This window comes from Homo sapiens, chromosome 15, assembly GCF_000001405.40.
Source record: "Homo sapiens chromosome 15, GRCh38.p14 Primary Assembly".
NCBI classification, from domain to species: domain Eukaryota; kingdom Metazoa; phylum Chordata; class Mammalia; order Primates; family Hominidae; genus Homo; species Homo sapiens.
The window spans coordinates 58,803,897-58,828,188 of record NC_000015.10 but is presented as its reverse complement, the minus strand read 5'-3'; the positions used below and the strand labels follow the sequence as shown (position 1 = coordinate 58,828,188).

The 24,292-nt window shown below is 39.9% G+C and overlaps 1 protein-coding gene across 13 annotated transcripts in view; it reads right to left on the bottom strand.

Moving 5' to 3' along the window:
- Positions 1-24,292, bottom strand: part of MINDY2 (MINDY lysine 48 deubiquitinase 2) — a 90,599-nt gene that overhangs the window by 33,712 nt on the left and 32,595 nt on the right. For 3 of the 13 annotated variants that reach the window (XM_017022332.3, XM_047432700.1, XM_017022335.3), the window contains exons 4-5: positions 21,360-21,413; positions 17,801-17,959 (exon numbers count right to left, since the gene is read on the bottom strand). In XM_017022332.3, coding sequence (XP_016877821.1) covers positions 17,801-17,959; positions 21,360-21,413 — 213 coding nt within the window. Of the gene's footprint in view, positions 1-6,369; positions 6,473-17,800; positions 17,960-21,359; positions 21,414-24,292 lie in introns of all 13 variants that reach the window. The other 10 variants (XM_011521687.3, XM_011521688.3, XM_011521689.3 and 7 more) reach the window with 5 other exon arrangements.

The window sequence follows — 24,292 nt, the reverse complement described above, 5'->3', positions numbered from 1 at the left end:
AGATAAAAGCTCATATGATTTTTTTTTTTTTTGAGATGGAGTCTCACTCCGTTTCCAGACTGGAGTGCAGTGGCGCTATCTCGGCTCACTGCACACCCAGCTAATTTTTTGTATTTTTAGTACAGACAGGGTCTCACCATGTTGGCCAGGCTGGTCTCGAACTCCTGACCTCAGGTGATCCACCCACCTCGGCCTCCCAAAGTGCTGGGATTACAGGCATGAGCCACTGCGCCCAGCCCACTCATATGATTTGATTCCAGGAGTGCAGTAGGGAGCCCAGAACATTTTACTGTGCCAAAAAATAAGTGCTTAAGTAAAGATGAGGAGATACAAAAGAACACAAGACCCAACTTGAGGGCATCCCACTGGCCATATCACATTTAGAACAATTAAAGCATCAAAAAGAATAATGATAATGGATTATAATACACTGAATAGGCCAGGCACGGTGGCTCATGCCTGTAATCCCGGCACTTTGGGAGGACGAGGCGGGAGAATCACGAGGTCAGGAGATCGAGACCACGGTGAAACCCTGTCTCTACTAAAAGTACAAAAAAATTAGCCGGCCGTGGTGGCGGGCGCCTGTAGTCTCAGCTACTCGGGAGGCTGAGGCAAGAGAACGGCATGAACCCGGAAGGCGGAGCTTACAGTGAGCCGAGATCGCGCCACTACACTCCAGCCTGGATGACACAACAAGACTCCGTTCTGTCTGAATAAAAAGGAATCCATGAGTTTATATGGATACAATTTTTTTTAATGGGGAAAGAGGAGAAGGAAGAGAAGGGAAAACTGTTCTGTTACAGAAGAATAACAACTAATAAACAGAAGGAATAACAGAAATTATAACCACCACAGTAATAACTGATTCAGGCAAGAACCAATGGATGCCAAATCTACCTGGTTAAAGATTATTAACGAATAGCATATTCACACAGTTCAAAGAATAATATCACAGGTGACTTATTAACTACCAAGGGAAAAGGACATCTTTACAATATAAAAACCTGGCAGATATTATCTTATCATATTTGAACATCACCAATAATGAGATAATCAGGCTCATGTGCCCCCGATTTGATGCACTGGGAAAGACACAATGTCACCTACGTAGCATCCCTGCCAAAAATATATAACCTGAATCTACTAATGAGGAAATAATCAGATGAATCCAAATTGAGGAATATTCTGTGGAACAACTGGCCTGGACTATTTTAAAAAGTCAATGTCATAAACGACAAAAAAGGAAGGAAAGGAGGGAGGAAGCAAGGAAGGAAAGGAGTGAGGAAGCAAGGGAGGAAAGGAGAAATGAAGGAAGGAAGGGAGGAAGGGAGGGAGGAAGGAATAAGGTTACAGAACTATTCTAGATTACAGAAGACTAAAGAGATGTGACAACTAAATGATCCATAATTGGAGCCTCCATTGAAAAAAATTAAAAGCTATTAGGGGCATTACTGGGAAAACGGGAGAATTCTGATATGAACAATATATTAAATAATATTGTATCAATGCTAAATTGCTTGAAATAATTGCATTGTGATTATATAGGAGAATTTATATAAGAGAATTCCTTGTTCTTAGGAGACAAATGATGAAGCATTTACAGGTAAAGTGCTATATTTGCAATTAATTCTCACAAGATTTAGGGAAAAAGAGTGTGTGGGGCCAGGTGCAGTGGCTCATGTCTGTAATACCAGCACTTTGGAAGGCCAAGGCGGGCGGATCACCTGAGGTTGGGAGTTCGAGACCAGCTTGACCAACACAGAGAAACCCCATCTCTACTAAAAATACAAAATTAGCCAGGTGTGGTGGCGCATGCCTGTGATCCCAGCTACTTGGGAGGCCGAGGAAGGAGAATCGCTTGAGCCTGGGAGGCAGAGGTTGTGGTAAGCCAAGGTTGCGCCATTGTACTCCAGCCTGGGCAACAAGAGCAAAACTCCATCTCAAAAAAAAAAAAAAAAAAAAAGATTGTGTGAATACAGAAAAAAAGAAAACATTCAACATATCAACAATTGGTAAATTTACATAAAGAGCATATAAATGTTCACTGTGCTATTACAACCTTTTTTATAGGTTTGAGATTTTTTAAAATAAAAGTTGAAGAAAGAAAAAGAAAAGGAAACCAATATTATTTAATAAAAATAATAATAAGCCAAACTATAATGTTCAGTGTCTATGGCACATAATAAAGGCTCAATAAATATTTGAATTAACGAATACATATCCTAGAAATATTTTTATAAGCATATTTTTGTCCTAGGAACAACTGTTAAAGAAACATTCCTAGGCTGGGTATGGCATCTCACGCCTGTAATCCCAGCACTTTGGGAGGCTGAGGTGGGAGGATCACCTGATGTCAGGAGTTTGAGACCAGCCTGGGCAACATGGTGAAACCCTGTCTCACCTAAAAATACAAAAAATTAGCCAGCGTGGTGGCGTGAGCCTGTAGTCCCAGCTACCTGGGAGGCTAAGGCAGAAGAATTGCTTGAACCTGGGAGGCAGAGGTTGCAGTGAGCCAAAATTGTACCACTGCACTCCAGCCTCCAGCCTGGGCAGCTGAGCAAGACTCTGTCTCAAAACAAACAAACAAACAAACACCACACAAACAAACAAACAGACAAAAAAGAACCATTCCTGAGAGCATCTGGAATTAAATGAATAGCTATGGTGAAGTCTGGCTGCTGGTACTGCGCTTTTTTTTAAACTTGCTGATTTTTGCTGCCATGAAAAATCAGCATCATCACAACCAGATTCAAAAAGGTATTGTTTCTATTCATCATTGTACTGGAAAAGAAGTAGAAAATAAAAAAGGTATCGACACCCGAAAGCAGTGTATTCTACAATTAAGTATTCTACGTAAAGTAAAAGTTCTGCACCTTTACTTATAAGGCATTAGAATCAAGGAAAGCAAATGTTATCTAAAAGAAGTTGAAAGAACACCTAACTCTATTTGATTATTTGCTAAATAACATTTCTTTTCCCTTAAAAAGGAATGTTAGTGAATGTATTTCTTATTCCTCATACCTTGATAGGAAATAAAATGTTTGAATTTTTAAAAAGTTATCACCTGTGACCAAAACTTATTTTTTAATAAAGATTAGAAACAAGTCGGCTTTGAGGTATTTTATTGATTTAAAGGGAAAGCTACAATTGCAGGCTAAACAGAAAATGAAAGCAGATTACTTTAACTGAACACCACTCAAGATAATATGATATATGATGGGCTGGGCGAGGTGGCTTATGCCTGTAGTTGCAGCACTTTGGGAGGTTGAGGCTGGCGGATCACCTGAGGTCAGGAGTTTGAGACCAGCCTGGCCAACATGGTGAAATCTCATCTCTACTAAAAATACAAAAATTAGTCGGGCATGGTGGCACATGCCTGTAGTCCCAGCTACTCAGGAGGCTGAGGCAGGAGAATTGCTTGAATCCATGGGGCAGAGGTTACAGTGAGCCGAGATCGTGCCACTACACTCCAGCCTGGGTGACAGAGCGAGACTGTCTCAAAAAAAAAAAAAAAAAAGATAATATGATGAAGAAAAGCTAATTGCTGCAAAGTAAGTAAAAATGTCTATTACGGTCTTTTATTTTCCATGATTTCTTAGTGTCTTATACAAGTAACCATTGGAGTTAAGTAATTATTTCAAATGAACTACAAATTTGTAGTTACTTATGAACAAAAATCTAGTTTAGCTTTTTAATTATGCTAAATGACACATATAATTATTCTTTAATATGGAAATATGGTATGTAGAATTTCATCATTATGAAATTTATATATCAAGGAAGTAATAAATATGCCCAGCAGATATTCCCTAAAAATTCTATACCATTTTAGAGGGTTTCTTTCTTTGCTTTCACCATGATGTTCTTCCTAAATTATCAATAACACATATATTAACTATAGTTTTTCATTATCCTGAGGAATCAATGTCAGAGAAATAATAATATTTGTGACATCAGGTTAAGGAAAAAGAAGTAATGAAGGAACTGATTTTTTTGTTCATTTTGTTAATTATTATAGTACTAAGTCCTACCCTTACTGTATTTGTAGCCAGAATTGGGAAAGATGTTAACAGTGTTTCACATAGCTTCATACTCCATAAGTCAGTTTATCCAAGTATTACTTCTTGGCTAGCATTCTGTCTGTTACCACTTTCTGAATCCTATTGTTCCTTCAAGTACTACTGAATAGCATACTCTGGTATATTGGACATTACTGAAAAAGAAGGATTCCGTAGATAGACATTTTTAAAATAGGAGCTTCTTTTTAGTAATTATCTATGGTAATGAGAGCTTGTATAGGAATGCAAACTTCTAGTGAGTGGAATTTTTTTCCCCATACATTCTAGCTCATTGAGAAGGAATTTTGTTAATTGAGAGAATATACTTTTGTAATAGTTTTTATTGCTTCTTTCTCTCCTAAAATTTGAACACTGCTGCCTCATGCTGTAACAAAAGAGTTGTCAGATGAATCAATGATCAACGACTCTATACTGTTTTTTGTTTTGTTTTGTTTTGTTTTGTTTTTGAGACAGATTCTGTTCTGTTGCCCAGGCTGGAGTGTAGTGGCATGATATTGGCTCACTGCAGCCTTGACCTCCTGGGCTCAAGTGATCTTTCAGCCTCAGCCTCCCAAGTACGTGGAGCTAGAGGTGCCTGGCTAATTTTTTATTTTTATTTTTTAGAGATGGGATCTTGCTACATTGCCCAGGCTAGTCTCAAACTCCTGGGCTCAAGCAATCCTCCCGCCTCAGCCTCCCAAAGTGCTGGGATTACAGGTGTGGGCCACAATGTCCAGCCTGTCCCTGTATCTTTATATGTTTACTGCAAGTAGAAGAATAGCATAAACCTCCCAGCTTGACCAACATGACAAAATCCCATCTCTACTAAAAATACAAAATTATTGCATGCCTGTAATCCCAGCTACTCAGGAGGCTGAGGAAGGAGAATGGCTTCATCCTGGGAGGCGGAGGTTGCAGTGAGCTGAGATCGCGCCATTGCACTCCAGCCTGGGCAACAAGAGTGAAACTCCGTATCAAAAAAAAAAAAAAAGAAAAAAAAAAGATTAGGATAAACCTTAACTAAAATACTATGCATTTTCTTCTTATTTTCCTCTTTTGCAAAAATGTGTTAAACTTCTGGATAATTAAGTAATGTAATTAGTTGGATTCTGATTAATATAGATGGAATTCATGTACATATCTTTTATATGCTCATATGCTCCTGTAGTCGTTAGTTTTAATTCTTAAAAATGTGATAATTGTAATAAACTTTTATTATATCTTATGTAAAATAATTGTGTGTCTGAGAGAGACTAAAACTCATGCCCTACTTCTCATGATTTCTCTTTCTCTTTTGTTTCCCTTTCACAGACAGAAGAATTATAGCCTCAGTATTTATGTATATTTTTGAAAGAGTGAAGTGGGGACTGAGAAGGTATATCTACATGCTATGCCTTTTGATAGCATTCTGTTTCAAATCTCCTTTTCTCATCATTGACTGGAACACAGTTGAAAAAATATTAAACTGATTTTGTGACGATGAATTTAGGAATTCCAGTTAGCTAAGGATTAGAAAAACTGATTTTCAGAGGCATACTCTGATCCAGAATGGGGCTTTAATATTGTATTATACTGAAATATAAAGCAGAGGTCTACTAAAATCTAGAGTACTTGAGCACCATAATACTCATCTCAGTCAGTTGAAGTATTCAGGATCAATGATAAAGTCCATTCAGGACTCCTAAATAATAAACATTTTTTAAGAAAGTAATTATCAGTAACCTCTGGGTACCTGACCATACCAAAGTTAGCAAGTGATTCCAAAAATTTTTAATAGAATCCAGGCCTGATTTTACAAGTTAAATGAAAAAGAGTTCTAGGAAAAACCTTTCATTGGCACCTTTATGAATGATTACTTCTTCTTCTTTTTTTTTTTTTTGATACAGAGTCACTCTGTTGCCCAGGGTGGAGTACAGCGGCGCAATCTCGGCTCACTACAACCTCCACCTCCTGGGTTCAAGCGATTCTCCTGCCTCAGCCTCCTGAGTAGCTGGGATTACAGGCATGCAACACCATGGCCAACTAATTTTTTGTTGTATTTTTAGTAGACACGTGGTTTCATCATGTTGGCCAGGCTGATCCTGAACTCCTGTCCTCAGGTGATCTGCCTGCCTTGGCCTCTCAAAATGCTGGGATTACAGGCGGGAGCCACTGTGCCCAGCCTATGGATGGTTACTTCTTAAAATTCATACAAGTAATATAACATGTGTTTTTTAGAAGTCTTATTTAAGAAATTTGAAAGATATTAAGTTATAAGAAAAATTATCTTGCCAAGAATTTCAAAAGTCAGGAAATAGCAGCACTCACCCACCTTCACTAACCAGCTCACTATTGTCTGACTGTTTACAAGAGATGATCTTCTCCACTAGTTGGTTGTAGCTGCAGTTACCAACAGCTTTTACAATGTCATCAATCTAGAAAACAAATGACTGTCTCACTAATCATGGTAAGATTAGGAACAAAACAAAAGAAAGCCATATCACTCTTTAGAATTTTATTCTAATATAATACTAAATATAAAACTATTATTTACGAAAAACAAAATCAGCACTAAAATCAACACCCAACAGTTTCCAAGTTTGTTTACAGCTCAGTAGGACACATTATGAAAAATACTGCAGTTGTATTATTTTAATTATGCAAAATAAGATTAAATGGGATTATTACATGCAACTTTATTTCTTAAGGTCATAAACATGTATTTAAGTGATCAAAATAAAACATAAACTATTCCAGAAGAAAAAATAAGAAAATATCCATTTTTTTCTCCCAGCATAAAGTATCAAGTTTTTTTTTTTTTTAACTAAAAAACAAATGTTGCACATTTAAAGCAAGGCAACTTTAAATATGTTAATTTATAGGATTAATAAAATTATTCCATTTTATTACTTATTTCCTAGAAAAGTATAGTGGAGATATGAGTAGAGATAACTAATGTTATTTTCCTGAAGAAAAGTTAATATATGTTAATGGGGGATGGGATATGCGCCATGATTCTTATTTAATCTTTGTTTTTAGAGGTACAGCAGTACAGTAAACTTAAACTTTTAAGCTATAGGAAAATAAAATTGGGCTTCTCTCTCTCCATTACACTTTGCTTTGACTATAGAAGAAAAAGAGGTTTCTACTGTCTAAACAACTTATATAGTTGCCTTTCCATATATAAAAATATATTTATATTTATTTATAAATTATTTATGTGTATTGCTGTATAAGTAAGTTATATATCTAATAAAACAAATACAAATTTTAGAATTACATAAATAAAAATAAGAGGGCCAATGTTTTCTTCCTACATTCAAATGATCACCTTGAAGACTTACTCTTTGAATACCACAGGTCTCAACATATATCTGCACAATACTCACAGCAGTGGTTTTCAAACTCGGGGAGCTTGTTAAAAAGATGTAAAAGAATTTCAGGCTCATGTTGCTTCTCAATTGTCTAAGTTTTCATTCCACTGCCCAGGTGATTCCGATGCATAGCGAAGTTTGAGAACCACCATTCTATGCTATAATTTATTTTCCTTGTTTATGAAAAAGTCTACAATACTAAAAGCCTCTTAACTCATACAACTGGAACTGATGATTGGTTGAGTAAACAATCAGTTAATTCAAAAAGTCACAGCAGGAAATTGTGGAAAATGTTTACAGGCATAAATATCTTAAACTTTTTTTTTTTTTTTTTGAGATGGAGTCTCACTCTGTTGCCCAGGCTGGAGTGCAGTGGTGTGACCTCGGCTCACTGCAACCTCCACCTCCTGGGTTCAAGTGATTCTCCTGCCTCAGCCTCCTGAGTAGCAGGGATTACAGGCGCCCGCCACCACACCTGACTAATTTTTGTTTGTTTGTTTGTTTGTTTGTTTTGAGATGGAATCTCACTCTGTCGCCAGGCTAGAGTGCACTGACACAGTCTTGGCTCACTGCAACCTCTGCCTCCTGGGTTCAAGCGACTCTCCTGCCTCAGCCTCCCTAGTAGCTGAGACTACAGGTGCACGCCACCATGCCCAACTAATTTTTGTATTTTTAGTAGAGTTGCGGTTTCACTATGTTGGCCAGGATGGTCTTGAACTCCTGACCTCAAGTACTCTGCCTGCCTCAGTCTCCCAAAGTGCTGGGATTACAGGTGTGAGCCACTGTGCCTGGCCCATATCTTAAACATTTCACATTAACTTAAAACACAAAAATGTATTCAATGGTCAATCTTTTGATGCAGTGCCAAATCCTTTTCTTTGCGAGAGGATCCTTGGGATAAGATTCTATGTACATTGCACAAAAAAACATCTATGAGTTCCAGCTTTGATTTATGTGAAATGAGAAGTTAGACCCTTAAGAAACAATTTGAGGGCACAATCTGTTCAGATGTTATTTTCCTCAACACCTTTACTTTATAGTGCTTTTCATTAGTGACTCAACTTCAGTAAGTCTTTTCAAATAATCTGAATTTTCAATTCTAAGAAATCCACAAAAATATAGCTACACTAAGTTGGGTGTGGTGGCTCACACCAGTAATGCAAACAATTTAGGAGGCTGAGGCAGGAGGGTATCTTGAGGCCGGGAGTTCAAGACCAGTCTGAGTAACACAGCAAAACTCCTGTCTCTAAAAATAAAATAAAAATATTTTTGAGATTTTTTTCTTACTCTGTCTCCCACGCTCTGTCACCCACGCTGGAGTGCAGTGGTGTGATCTGGGTCTCACTGTGTCACTCTTGCTGGAATGTAGTGGCGTGATCACAGCCCACTGCAGCCTCGACCTCCCAGGCTCAAGCAATCCTTCCACCTCAGCCTCCTGCATAGCTGGGACTACAGGCAGACGCCACCACACCCAGCTAATTTTTAAATTTTTTGTAGAGACAGGTCTCATTACGTTGTCCAGGCTGGTCTCAAACTCCTGGGCTCAAGCAATTCTCCCATCTTGGTCTTTCAAAATGTTGGGATCACAGGCGTTAGCCACCATGCAAGGCCTCTAAAAAAATTTTTCTTTTTAATTAGCTGGACATGGTGGTGCACGTCCATAGTCCCAGCTATTCAAGAGGCTGAGGAAAGGATCGCTTGAGTCCAGGAGTTCAAGGCTGCAATGAGCTATGATCATGCTACTACACATCAGCCTGGGCAATGCAGCAAGACACTGTCTCTAAAACAAAACAAAACCCCCCAAAACCCAACTACAATAATAAACACAAGATCAATAGGCTGGGCATAGTGGCTCATGCCTGTAATCCCAGCACTTTGGGAAGCTGAGGTGGGCAGATCACCTGAGGTCAGCAGTTCCAGACCAGCCTGGCCAACACGAGGAAACCCCATCTCTACAAAAAATACAAAAAATTAGCCAGGCGTGGTGGTGGGCACCAGTAATCCCAGCTACTTGGGAGGCTGAGACAGGAGGATCACTTGAAACTGGGAGGTGGAGGTTGCAGTGAGCCGAGATCACACCTGGGTAGCAAGAACAAAAACACTGTCTCAAAAAAAAAAAAAAAAAATCAATATACAAAAATCAAATCTATTTCTCTAGAGTACCAATAAAAAAAGATGTCAAATATTCATAGACAGAATCTGTACATTAGTATTTCACTCAAGGCCAGGTGTAGTGGCTCATGTCTATAATCCCAGCACTTTAGGAGGCTAGCAGGGGAGGACGGCTTCAGTCCAGGAATTTGAGACCATCCTAGGCAACATAACAAGGCCCTGTCTTCACAAAAAATAAAAAATCTAGCCAGGCATGGGAGTGTGTGCCTATAGTCCCAGCTACTCAGGAAGCTGAGACAGGATTGCTTAAGCCCAGAAGTACCAGGTTGCAGTGAGCTATGATCACGCCACTGCACTCTAGCCTGGGTGTCAGAGTAAGATCTTGTCTTCCCCCACCCCCAGAATTCCATTCATCCAATTTATTTGGATGCCTATTACATACTACTACATGCAAGGTGCCACTAGAGAATCTACAGACACAACAGTGAGCAAAATGGTTTATGCTTTCATAAAGCTTATATTCTAGAGTAAAAGCAAATAATAAACCAAATCAACAAATACATAATGTAAGGTTGTTGTATATAGTGGTATGCAGATGTTTGTTTTCACTGTAGTACAGTATTCCATAGAATATACCATAATGTGGTTACTCATTTGTCTTTTGATGGCTATTCAAGTTGTTTTCAGTTTCGGACTATGGCAAATAACACTGCTGTGAAAAATTCTAGGACGTTTATCCTCTTTCACTCATCAAGAGTGTATGCCTTGCCAAATTGCTGAGTCTTAAGGAATGCTTAGCATCAACTTTAATGGATAAACCAAACTGGTTTCAAAAGTAGATGGCCAATTTCCACTCTCATCACAAGGAATGAGAATTCTCTATGCTGCACATCTTCACCAACATTTAATATTGTCAAACTTTTATTTTTTTATTTTTGTTTTTTGAGACAGAGTCTCGCTCTGTCGCCCAGGCTGGAGTGCAGTGGTGCGATCTCAGCTCACTGCAACCTCCGCCTCTCGGGTTCAAGCAATTCTCTGCCTCAGCCTCCTGAGTAGCTGGGATTACAGGCACCCACCACCATGCCCGGCTAATTTTTGTATTTTAATAGAGACAAGGTTTCACCATGTTGGCCAGGCGTCTCAAACTCCTGACCTCAGGTGATCCACCTGCCTTGGCCTCCCAAAGTGCTGGGATTACAGGTGTGAGCCACTGCGCCCAACGTAATACCATCAGACTTTTAAATGTTAGCCAGTCTGATGTATGTACAGTGGTCTCTAATTCTGATTTTAATTTGTATTTCTCTGATGACCAATTCATATGTTCATTGGCCATTTGGATATCTGTTTTTGTGAAGTGCCTATTCAAGTCATTTGCTCCTTTTTTTGGCTGGGCTATCTTTAAAAAATTATCTGTAGGAGCTCCTACTTTCTGAATATTAATCCTTTATTCATTTTTTAAAGTTGCAATTCATCTTCTACTCTGTGGCTTGCTTTTACATTCTGTTTGGAATGCCTTTAGATGAACACAAATTCTCAGTTTTAAGGTAGTCATGTTTACTAATGTTTCCTTACAGTTAATAGGTTTGTATCTTGTTTTTGAAATCCCTCCGTACAGTGATGTCATAATATCAGGAACATAGTTTCAAACTTTTGTAGTTTTATTTTTTATAGTTAAACTTTTTTTTCCCCCTCCATGTTTGTAGAGCCAGGACCTTAGTATATTGCCCAGGCTGGAGTACGGTGGCTATTCACAGGTGCTATCATAGTGCACTGCAGCCTCAAACTCCTGGCCTTAAGTGATTCTCCTACCTCAGCCTCCTGAGTAACTGCGACTACAGGGATGCCACCTCACCTGGCTTTTACAGTTAAAACTTTAATGCGCATGGAATAGAATTTTGCGGTGTGAGTTGTAGGAAACAGTTTCATTTTTTCCCTCTATGTCTACCTAATTGTCTTAGAACCTTTTGTTTAAAGGATTGCCTTTCCCCATTGCTCTAGAGTGCCCTAGTTCTATCTGTATAGTGATCTTTTTAGGCCTCTATTCTCTGTCATTGGTTTAATTCTTAATTACAATATTTAAAATACTTTGTATGTGAGCTGGGCATGCTGATGCACAACTGCAGCCCCAGCTACTTGGGAGGCTGAGGTGGGAGGATTCCTTGAGCCATCTGAGGCTGCAGTGAGCTATGATCACACTACTGCACTCTAGTCTGGGCAACAGAGCAAGATCTTGTCTCAAAAAAACAAACAAGCAAACAAAAAAAGAATTAAAAATAAAAAAAAGAATTCAGGCTTACATTCCTCAGACTGTCATTCTTCACAATCTAAATTATCTGGCATTGATCTGCCAGAATCCAACCTTGGATGTATAAACTGCTGGACATGTTGAGACTTTTCAGTGAAATTCTCAGAGTTGCCTTGCTTATAGTAAGCCATCCTTCCATTCTCCTGAATCCCAGCAGCTTTTACCAATGGACAGAGATGAAAAAAAAGCACTGCCAAGTCCTTGCTATTATGATCTCTGGTTTCCTAGAGTTAATGGATGCACACATGTATGCTGCATTCCATCAGTCAATATTTACTTATGTGCCAGGCACTGTTCTAAATACTATGCTGAGTCCAGCCCTTATAAAACCTATATTCTAGTGGGAGATGACAGTTAACCAGGTAAAGAAATAATAGCCTTTTGGCTGGGCGTGGTGGCTCACGCCTGTAATCCCAGCACTTTGGGAGGCCGAGGCAGACGGATCACGAGGTCAAGAGATCGAGACCATCCTGACCAACATGATGAAGCCCCGTCTCTACTAAAAATACAAAGATTAGCTGGGCATGCTGGTGCGCGCCTATAGTCCCAGCTGCTCAGGAGACTGAGGCAGGAAAATCACTTGAACCCGGGAGATGGAGGTTGCAGTGAGGAGATCACGCCATAGCACTCTAGCCTGGCGACAGAGTGAGACTCTGTCCAAAAAAAAAGAAAAAGAAAAAAGAAAAAGAAGGAAATAATATCCTTTCTTCTTGAGCCAAGCACAGTGGCTCATGCCTGTAATGCAGCACTTTGGGAGGCCAAGGTGGGAGGATCGCTTGAGGCTAGGAGTTTCAGACCAGCCTGGGCAACATGGTGAAATCCTGTCTCTATAAAAAATACAAAAATTGCCAGGCGTGCTGGTGTGCACCTGTAGTCCCAACTACTGGGGGGCCGAGTAGGGAGGATTGCTTGAGCACAGGAGGTCGAGGCTGCAGTGAACCAAGACTGTGCCACTGCACTCCAGCCTGGGTGACACAGAGAGACTCTGTCTCAAAAAAACAAAAAACAAAAACAAAAAAACCCCATAAATACTTATAAGTTTTAAATCTTATTTTAATTAAACTGGATGCTTTTAAGGCAATGAGGAGGGAAGGGTAAAGGGAAGGATTTATTTTACAAAGTTCATGCTAAGTTCAAGACAATTCAACAGGGTAAGAATAACCTTTTCAGCAAATGGTACTAGGACAACTGGCTATCTACATGTATATGAATAAAGTTGGGCCCTTTCCTCGAACCACATACAAAAATTAACCCAACATTGACCATATTCATAAATGTAAGTGCTAAAACTATAAAACTCTTAATAGAAAATAAAGAACTAAATCTTCTTGATTTTTGGTTAGGCAAAGCCCTCTTAGGTAGGACACCAAAAGCATAAGGGACAAAAGAAAAAATAAAGTGAACTTCACTGAAATTAAGTCCAGGCACAGTGGCTCACATTTGTAACCTCGGCACTCTGAGAGGCTGAGGTGGGAAGACTGCTTGAGGCCAGGAGTTCAAGACCAGCCTGGGAGTTCAAGCGTGTCATACAGTGACACGCCGTTTCTAAAAAAAAAAAAAAAAAAAGTTAAAATTAAAGAATATTTCCAAGTCATATATCTGACAAGAGATTTGTGCTTAGAACACATCAAGAACATTTGCAACTCAATTACAAAAAGACACATAGCCAAATAAAAAAAATGGGGAAAAGGGCTGGACATGGTGGCTCACAGCCGTAGTCTCACACTTTGGGAGGCTGAGGAGGGTTTGAGCCCAGGAGTTCGAGACCAGCCTGAGCAATATGGCGAGATCTCATTTCTACAAAAAATTAAAAAGTGAGCAGGGTATGGTGGCATGTGCCCAGCTACTTAGGAGGCTGAGGCAGGAGGATCACATGAGCTCAGGAGTTTGAGGTTGCAGTGAGCTATGATCATGCCACTGCACTCCAGCCTGGGTGACTCAGTAAGACCCTGTGTCAAAAAAAAAACAAAACCAAAAACAAAACTCAACTGTAAAGAACCAATCTAATTAGAAAGTGGGCAAAAGACATGAAGAGACATTTTACTAAAAAGAATATGCAAATGGCAAACAAGCACATCAAAAGATGTTCAGCATCATTAGCCGTTAAAGAAATGCAAATTAGGCTGGGTGCGATGGCTCACGCCTGTAATCGCAGCACTCTGGGAGGCCGAAGCGGGTGGATCACCTGAAGTCAGGAGTTCATGACCAGTCTGATTAACATGGTGAAACCCTGTCTCTACTAAAAATACAAAAAAATTCACTGGGCATGGTGGTGGGCGCCTGTAATCCCAGCTACTCGGGAGGTCGAGGCAGGAGCATCACTTGAACCTGGGAGCAGGAGGCTGCACTGAGCAAAGATTGTGCCACTGCACTCCAGCCTGGGCAACAGAATGATACTCCATCTCAAATTAAAAAAAAAAAAAAAAAAAGAAATGCAAGTTAAAACTACAATGAAATATTGCTACCTAAGAATGGCTAAAATAAAAAATAGTGACAACATTAAGTGCTGATGAAGATGCAGAGAAACTGGATCACTCATATGTTACTGGTGGGAATGTAAACTTTTCTACAGGTAATCTAGTAAACAGTTTGTCGCTTTCTTAAAAAAAAAAATACACAAGTTAACGGGGCATAATGGTGCATGCCTGTAGTCCCAGCTACTTGGGAGGCTGCGGCAAGAGGATCACTTGAGCCCAGGAATTCAAGTCCAGCCTGGGCAACAAAGCAAGACCCTGTCTCTTAAAAAACAAACAAACAAACACACAAACCAACAAGCAACTATGATATAACCCACCAACTGCACTCCTGGGCATTTAACCCAGAGAAATGAAAAACGTACCTGTACACAAATGTTTACAGCAGTTTGAGATAGAGTCTTGCTCCATCACCCAGGCTGGAGAGAAGTGGCACGATCTTGGCTCACTGCAGCCGCCACCTCTTGGGTTCAAGTGATTCTCCTGCCTCAGCCTCCCCAAGTAGCTGGGATTATAGGCACATGCCATGACAGCCAGCTGATTTTTGTATTTTTAGTAGAGATGGGGTTTCGCCATGTTGGCCAGGCTGGTCTCGAACTCCTGGTCTCAAGTGATTCACCTGCCTCAGCCTTCCAAAGTGCTGAGATTACAGGCGTGAGCCACCGTGCCCGGCGGGAAAACACCCAGATGCTCTTTAACAAGTAAAACTGCGGTAGGTCCACACCACAAAATACTACTCAGTAATGAACAGGAGCAAACTACTGATAGATGCAACAATCTGGATGATGCTTTGGAGACTTATGGTGAGTATGAAATGCAATCCAAAAAGATTACACACTGTATATAATATTCTCAAAATAACAAAATTATAGAAATGGAGAAAGATTAGTGGTTGTCAGGGGTTAAGAAGAGGGTAAGGGTGTGAGAGAAGTGGGTGTGGATATAAAAGGGCATCAGGCGGGATTCTTGTGTTAACAGAAATGTGCCATATCTTGATTTTATTTATTTACTTATTTCTCTATTTATTTTGAGACAGGGTCTCGCTCTTTCTCTCAGGCTGGAACGCAGTAGTGTGATCACAGCTCACTGCAGCTTCAACCTCCTGGGCACAAGTGATCCTCCCACCTCAGCTTCCTGAATAGCTGGGACTACAGGCATGTTCCATCATGCCTAGCTAATTTTTTATTTTTGTAGAAATAAGGTTTTGCCATGTTGCCCAGGCTAGTCTTGAATTCCTGGGCCCAAGTGGTCCTCTTGCCTTGGCCTCCCAAAGTTCTAGGATTACAGGCATGAGCCACTGTGTCCAGCCATGTATCTCGACTTTACTAATGTCAATTTCCTGGTTTTGATATTTTACTAAATTTTGCAAAATTACTAAATTTTCCCATTGGGGAAAACTGGGTAAAAGGTATGAGGGATCATTCTTTATTATTTCTTTTTTTTTTTTTTTGAGACGGACCGTTGCTCTGTTGGCCAGGCTAGAATGCAGTGGCACCATCTCGGCTCACTGCAAACTCCACCTCCCGGGTTTAAGTGATTCTCCTGCCTTGGCCTCCTGAGTAGCTAGGATTACAGGCGCCTGCCACTGCACCCGACTAATTTTTGTATTTTTTAGTAGACACAGGGTTTCACCATCTTGGCCAGACTGATCTCGAACTCCTGACTTCATGATCCACCCGCCTCGGCCTCCCAAAGTACTGGGATTACAGGCGTGAGCCACTGCGCCCAGACTGTTCTTTATTATTTCTTACACTGGCATGTGAATCTATAATTACCTCAAAATAAAAAGTTTAATTTATAAAAAAGGTAAATTCTCACCTCATACCATAAAACAAAATAAATTTGAAAGGCATTGGCTGGTATGATTCCTTTGTCTTTTTCTTTTAAAGTTTACAATTAACTAATATTATTTTGAAATTTGAATCTTACTTTATGTTAAAAAATGTAAGTAAGTGAAAATAATATTAAAACAGTATAGGAGTAGACATAACACAGATCAGTGGAAAAGAGAAGACTCTAACCTATTTAAAAATTTAGTATGTTACAGTAGAATTATTTTTTCCTTTCACCCTTCCAATTGACTCTCCATTTCTTCTCTATTCGGGAGACTAACCTCTATGGACTGCAGCAACTGGAATTCCTACTCTCTAATAATCAGTTGAATTTGGCCAAAGGGAGCTACTAGAGGAAATCAGAAAGTGGGAGTCAGAGAATGTATTACCTATGCTCTTTCCCTGCTGGGCCATAGCTTGGGGGTAGTATTCCTCTCCTGAAGGTCACATCTCCTCGTCAGGAGCTCTGTGCTTTACTAATCAATCTTGCTGTGTTCTGCTAAGTATTCCCTCTCCTTATCTCTTCAGAGTTAGGAGTGGCAATTATTTTCTGCTGTTGCTAGGTCTAAGATGCTACACCATCTCTTACTTGTTGTTCCCCTTAACTTTGCCCACACCTTTGTAAATAGTCTCTTCATTAAACTTTTGACAGTTATCCTTCAGTGTGTCGTCTACTTCCTGCCAGGACCCTGATACGCTTAACAAGAGGCAAAATCTGGATTGCTAGACTAATATACCAAAGGTCAATGTACATTTAGAAATGTACAGTTAGAGTGATGGATATATGGGGGTGCCTTTTTAAAATAAATGTTTGGGTAATACAAAATCTCTTTTCAAAGCTATGCAATAAAGAATACGGTCTTGCCCAAAGAGAGGTTTGACCTTTGTCCCAGCTCCTATGAAATAACTTCTAAATCTTGGCATTGCTGTACCAATAGGAGTGACTGTGTTATTTATTGTGGGCCCCTTGGGCCACACCTGCAGTTTATACTAATGATGGATCCCTTGAACCACATGGTGTCAGCTCAGCTTCCAGGGAGGGAAGGGTAGGAGTCTGGGTTCAATTACATGGGCAATAAATTAAATCCTACCTACATAATGAAATCTCAATAAAAAATCTGAACACTGAAGGTGGGGTGAACTTCCAGGATTGGCAGCACTCCATGCATATTTTCATACATCAGTTCCAGGAGGGTATGATGTCCTGAGGATCCAGGGGAAGCTTCACAGTTGGAACCCTCCTAGATTCTGCCGTATGTGTCTCTTTCCTTTGCTAATATTAACCTGTATCTTTGCCCTGTAATGAACTGTAATGGTGAGTATAATAGGTTTCAGGGAGTCCTGTTAGTCACTCTGGTGAATTACTGAACCTGAGGGTAGTTTTGGGAAACCTCTGAACTTGTGATTGGTGTGAGAAGTACGGGTGGTCTTCTATGAGCTCTTCCCTCTAACCTTGTAGTTGGGCCCTAGCTCCTTAGAGTTGGGGTCAGAAGCCTTGGGCAGACTTAGTAGTCTGGAGGACTCTGTTCTTAACCTCATAGTTTGGCTAATTCCAGGCAAAAGTACAAAAAAAGTAAGTAACAAAAAATATAAATTGAGATTAATTTGCCAAATTAATACATTTTTCCTGTATTTGTGTTTACATAATTTAAATTCTTCGACTTACCTGAGGGTCTACTAACCACCCATGGTACAAAGGAATATCAAGAAGATCAAATACTATGCATTCTGGTGTATATTCAAACACTCGAACACCAGTGAATCTTACATTTACATCCAGGCCTGTCTGTAGTTTGTGCAAAATTGCCATGGCATCACTCATATTCTGAAAATAGAAAAGGGGAAAGTTCTAATTCAGAAACATCAAAACGAGAACAAAAAAGATATTCAAGTACAAGCACATTTACTTTTAATTTTCCATTTTATCCAATAAATTCAATTCAACATATTTTTATTATTGAGTATCTACTATGTGTCAGAAGCTAGTTGGAGTTTGAAAGATACAACAATGAATAAAACAGACACTGAGGTGGGCGGATCACTTGAGGTCAGGAGTTTGAGACCAGCCTGGCCAACATGGTGAAACCCTGTCTCTGAAAATACAAAAATTAGCTGGGCATGGTGGCATGCGCCTGTAGTCCCAGCTACTTGGGAGGCTGAGGTGGGAGGATCACTTGAACCCAGTAGGTGTAGGTTGCAGTGAGCTGAGATTCTGCCACTGCATTCCAGCCTGGTCAACAGAGCGAGACTCTGTCTCAAAAAACGAAACAAAACAAGACAAAGTCCATGCTCTTATGCAACTAACATTCTATTGGGAGAGATAAACATGTATATATATAAAACAATGTCAAGTATTAGCAAGAAAAACTGAACAAGATGGAGTTGTAGAGAGTAATAGAAATGAAGGACCTATTTTAGACCACAAAGTCCAAAGTCAAATGTTTTTCAAGTCAAAGAGGAAGAAGGCCTCTCCTACTGGTGAATCTAAAATAACTGAAAGTAGGATCTTGAAGAGATAGTTGTACACCCACGCTCATTGCAACATTATTCATAATTCTTTATCTATTCTTAGTTACAACTGACAAATGAATAAAGAAAATGAGATATATACATACAATGGAATATTATTCAGCCTTAAAAAAAAGAAAGAAATCCTGTCAGATGCTACAACCAGATGAACCTTGAGGACATCATGCTGAGTGAAATAAGCCAGTCACAAAAGTAAAAATACTGTATGATTCTACTTATATGAGATATTTAGAGTCATCAAAATCATAAAAACAGAAAGCAGAATGGTTGTTTCCAGGGGACTGGGGGAAGTGGAAAAGGGGGGTTGTTTGATGAATATAGGGTCTCACTCTGTTGCCCAGGCTAGAGTGCAGTGGTATGATCATGGCTCACCACAGCCTCAAACTCCTGGGCTCAAGTGATCCTCCCATCTCAGTCTCCCATGTAGCTGGGGCTACAGGTATATGCTAACATGCCCAGCTAATGTTTTTGATATTTTGTAGAGACGGGGTCTCACTATGTTACCCAGGCTGGTCCTGAATTTCTGAGCTCAAGTGATTCTCCGCCTCAGCCTCTCAACGTATTGGGATTACAGACATAAGCCACCATGCCTGGCAAGTTTCAGTTTTAAAGATGAAAAAGTGGCTGGGCACGGTGGCTCCCACCTGTAATCCCAGCACTTTGGGAGGCTGAGGCGGGTGGATCACGAGGTCAGGAGATCAAGACCATCTTGGCTAACAGGGTGAAACCCCATCTCTACTAAAAATACAAAAAATTAGTCGGGCATGGTGGTGGGCACCTGTAGTCCCAGCTACTCGGGAGGCTGAGGCAGGAGAATGGCATGAACCCAGCAGGCAGAGCTTGCAGTGAGCCAAGATTGTGCCACTGCACTCCAGCCTGGGCGACAGGGCGAGACTCTGTCTCAAAAAAACAAAAACAAAAACAAAAAAACCATATATTTTATAATATGTGGTTTTTAACACAATTAAAAAAAATAGAGATGAGCTATCAAGCCATGAAAAGACACAGAGGAAACTTAAATGCGTAGTAGTAAAGAAAACAAGCTAATATGAAAAGGCTACATACTGTATAATTCCAAATGACATTCTGGAAAGGGCAAGACTACAGAGACAGTAAAAAAGATCAGTGGTTGCCAAGGATTAAGGGAAGGGAGGAATGAACAGGCAGAGTACAGAGAACTTTTAGGACAGTGAAACTATTCTGTATGATACTGTAATGGTAGATACGTGACATTATACATTTTTCAAAATCCACAGAATATACAGAACCAAGAAAGAGTAAATTATAGACTCTGGGTGATAATGATGTGGCATTGCCAGTTTATCAATAATAAATGAACCACTCTGATGCGGGATGTTGACAGTGGGGGAAGCTGTGTGTATGGGGTTAGGAGGAACAGGAGGTATATAGAAAGCCTCAGGACTTTCCATACTTAATTTTGCAGTGAATGCACTGAAAAGGAAGGAAGGATGGAAGGAAGGGAGTGAGGGAGAGAGGGAGGGAGGGGAGTGGGGAGTGTAAATGGGAGAGGAAAGAAGGAGAGGGAGGTGAGGGAGACAGGCCTCCTTGAAAATGACACTAGAATAGAGACTACAGGGAGCACTAAATGTTAGGAAGCTCTGGGCAAAGAGCATTCCAAAGTAGATGCCAGTGCAAAAACGAGTTTATTACTGTGTCCATGGAATAGCATGGGGCCCAGTGCGGCTGGGACAAAATAAAAGTGAAAAGTTGTAGGAGATAAAGTCTAAGAGACAGGCAGAGGCTGGATCACAAAGACTTGTTTGTCAGATTAAGGAGTCATTTTGTCCACATCAGTTTTCTCAATAAATGTAGTCATATACATCTGGAATAAAGACTATTTTAGGCCGGGCGCAATGGCTCACGCCTGTAATCCCAGCACTTTGGGAGGCCGAGGCGGGCGGATCACAAGGTCAGGAGATCGAGACCATCCTGGCTAACACGGTGAAACCCCGTCTCTACTAAAAAATACAAAAAACTTTTAGCCAGGCATGATGGCGGGCGCCTGTAGTCTCTCTCAGCTACTCGGGAGGCTGAGGCAGCAGAATGGCGTAAACCCGGGAGGCGGAGCTTGCAGTGAGTGGAGATCGCGCCACTGCACTCCAGCCTGGGCGACAGAGCAAGACTCGGTCTCAAAAAAAAAAAAAAAAAAAAGACTATTTTAAAATGCTTTTCTAAGCACGTTAACACATTAAGTATGGACATATGTATAGAGAATACATTTGAAAGAATAAAGAAAAACCAATACATAAAATTTAACACACTTTTACTGAATCCCTACTGCTAATCAGACACTGTACAAGATACTAAAGACACAAAATAAGAACAGTAGACTATAGTTTGTAGAGGGGTTTGATAATAAAAAGGGTGAAAATGAAGGAAATCTTACATTAAAACTACGGATTCTCTTTGAAATTTGAAAAAGACAAATTTAGGTTACAAAAATGAAGTTCTGTTTTATGAAATAATTCATAAAATTCCATTCTAACAGACTGTACAGACTGTAAACAGAAATCATTCAAATGTTTTAAATTAATGAATGATGCATTTATAATAGGATAACATTGTTATACTGCAGTCTTTGACCTTTGTCAGTTTCATCTCTTCTACTGTTCCCCCCAAACAACATATTTTCTCAACCTTCCCAAAAATTAAACGCTTAAAAACAACCAGCTTACATTTTTTCCCTTAAGTGTTTTAGAACTTTTCTTAAATCTACAGCAATGATGAATCTGAAAAAATAGTAACAACAGTGAGCAATCTAAGAATTATAGTTTTACAACCACCAGATTTTCCTCTATTTTTGTAAATTCTTGTTTGTCAACCACCCAACTTCCTTTAGGGGCAATATGATTTCTAATGGCTCTGGGCTCATGCTTATACCTTCATATATTTGCTACAATTATTCCCCATTATTTAATATTAAAACAACTAAGTTAACACCATTTGATATCTTCATAAAGATTAATAAAACGGTTAAAAGAGGCCAGTTAACAGTGGCTCATGACTGTAATCCCAGCACTTTGGGAGGCTGAAGTGAGCAGATCACTTGAGCCCAGGAGTTTGAGGCTGCAGTGAGCCACGATAGCACCACGGCAAACCAGACAAAGTGACAGAGTGAGACCCTGTCTCAAAAAAAAAAAAAAAAAAAAAGTTGGCACGTTGACTCACGCCTGTAATGCCAGACAGGTGGATCACTTGAGGCCAGGAGTTCGAGACCAGCATGGCCAACATGGTGAAATGCCATCTCTACTAAAAATAAAAAAATTAGCCAGGAGTGGTGGCACATGCCTGTAATCCCAGCTAATTGGGAGGCTGAGGCATGAGAATCTCTTGAACCTGAAAGGCGGAAGTTGTACTGAGCTGAGATCATGCCACTACACTCCAGCCTGTACAACAGAGGGAGACTTTGTCTTTTCTTTTGTTGTTTTTTTGAGACGGAGTCTCGCTCTGTCGCCCGGGCTGGAGTGCAGTGGCGTGATCTCGGCTCACTGCAACCTCCACCTCCTGGGTTCAAGGGTTCCATCTGCCTCAGCCTCTCGAGTAGCTGGGACCACAGTACGTGCCACCACGCCCAGCTAATTTTTTGTATTTTTAGTAGAGATGGGGTTTCACTGTGTTAGCCAGCATGGTCTCGATCTCCAGACCTTGTGATCCCCCCGCCTCAGCCTCCCAAAGTGCTGGGATTACAGGCATGTGCCACTGTGCCCAGCCGAGACTCTGTCTTAATAAAAAACAACAACTGATAAACCAAACAAACTTATTTTAAAAGGGTTTTAAACTCTTGGGTAAGTATTTTGCCACTTTGTTCCTAATTCCAAATTATACTTAATATTACAAAATATAAATGTGAGCTATGGTTGCTTACCTCACAAGAAGGGAGTACTAGTGGATCCTTTAAGGCAATGGTTAAACTGTTTCTTAGAACTCTTTTCAAATGAACTTTTAACATGGTCAAATATTTTAAATTTAAATACAAAATATATTTTAAGAATATATTTGCACTCATTAAAAATTTGTTATGAATACACACATCATGTTTTCTTGTGCTGTCAGTACACTATTAGACAAAACTGGAAAAAATAGGCTCTTTGCTTACATTACAACTTCTGGTAAAGAGTTTTAAATGGGAATATTGCAGCTCTGTGTTGGTCTTTCTAAAATTAGGTTTGAAGACATCTGTTCACGTAAAATTACACAAAAAAGAACACTATTACATCACACTTGTGGAACATTACACATTAGCTTAGACTCAGCCCAGCCATATAAGCTTGACATACACTATTTTCAAAACAGTAATGTAATAATAACACCTTATAGTTTCATTGTTTATTTTAAAAGCAGGGTACTTTTTGCCTGATATGTTTATGAGAAATGCAAGCAGTTGTTAGATATCCTTTGTTTCAACTTTGAGCCAATATTCCAAATTCCCTTCAAGAATCCTGATCAGTGTAATGGGAGTGTATTCCAATGCAAGATGGACTTAAACCAAATGCTGATAACATTTGCAAGCATTTTTATTTTTCTTTCTTTCCTAATTTTTTGAGATGGAGTCTTACTATATCACACCCGGATTGGTCTTGAACTCCTAGGCTCAAGTAATCCTCCTGCCTCAGTCTCCTGAGTACCTGGAATTACAGCTGTGAACCACTGTAACTGGCTGCAAACAGTTTTCTTTTCTTTTCTTTTCTTTTTTTTTTTTGTAACAGGGTCTCACTCTGTTGTCCAGGCTGGAATGCAGTGGTGTGATTTGGCTCACAGCAACCTCTGCCTCCTGGGCTCAAGCGATCCTCTGACCTCAGCCTCCCAAGTAGCTGGGACTATAGGCGTGTGCCACCATGCCTGGCAAACGTTTTGTATTTTTTGTAGAGACAGGGTTTTGCCATGTTGCCCAGGCTGGTCTCACTACTGGGCTCAAGCAATCCGCCTGCTTTGGCCTCCCAAAGTGCTGGGATTACAGGCATGAGCCACCACGCCTGGTGCTTGCAAACACGAAAATTAAGATTTTCTCATTTCAATCAAGATTTTCTCAGGATTAGGCAACGAAAGTAAAATGAATTTGGAGGTTGACATCAGACTGCAGCTATCATCCGCAGTCCCTAATTTTAAGTTTTTAATAAAAATAGCTTCATGATTTCAGTAAGAAATGATATAAATTTCATAAATACATGATATAAATTAAACTTTATCACTTTATACTTATCATGTACTGGTTTTATATATTGGAAGCTGGGATGAGATTTCATTTGAAAAGAGGTTTCTATTGCTAAAAATGTTTAAATATCACTGTTTTAAGATACAAATTCCCCTGATAAAATTTAAATCACTTAGAATACAAATCTGGCTTTAGCTACAGATTTCCTTTCTTTTCCTTCTCCTCCTCCTCCTTTTTTTTTTGTCGCCCCGGCTGGAGTGCAGTGGCGCGATCTCGGCTCACTCCAAGCTCTGCCTCCCAGGTTCACGCCATTCTCCTGCCTCAGCCTCCAGAGTAGCTAGGACTTACAGGCGCCTGCCACCACGCCTGGCTAATTTTTTGTATTTTTTTTTTTTTTTTTTTTTTTTCAGTAGAGCTGGGGTTTCACCATGTTAGCCAGGATGGTCTCAATCTCCT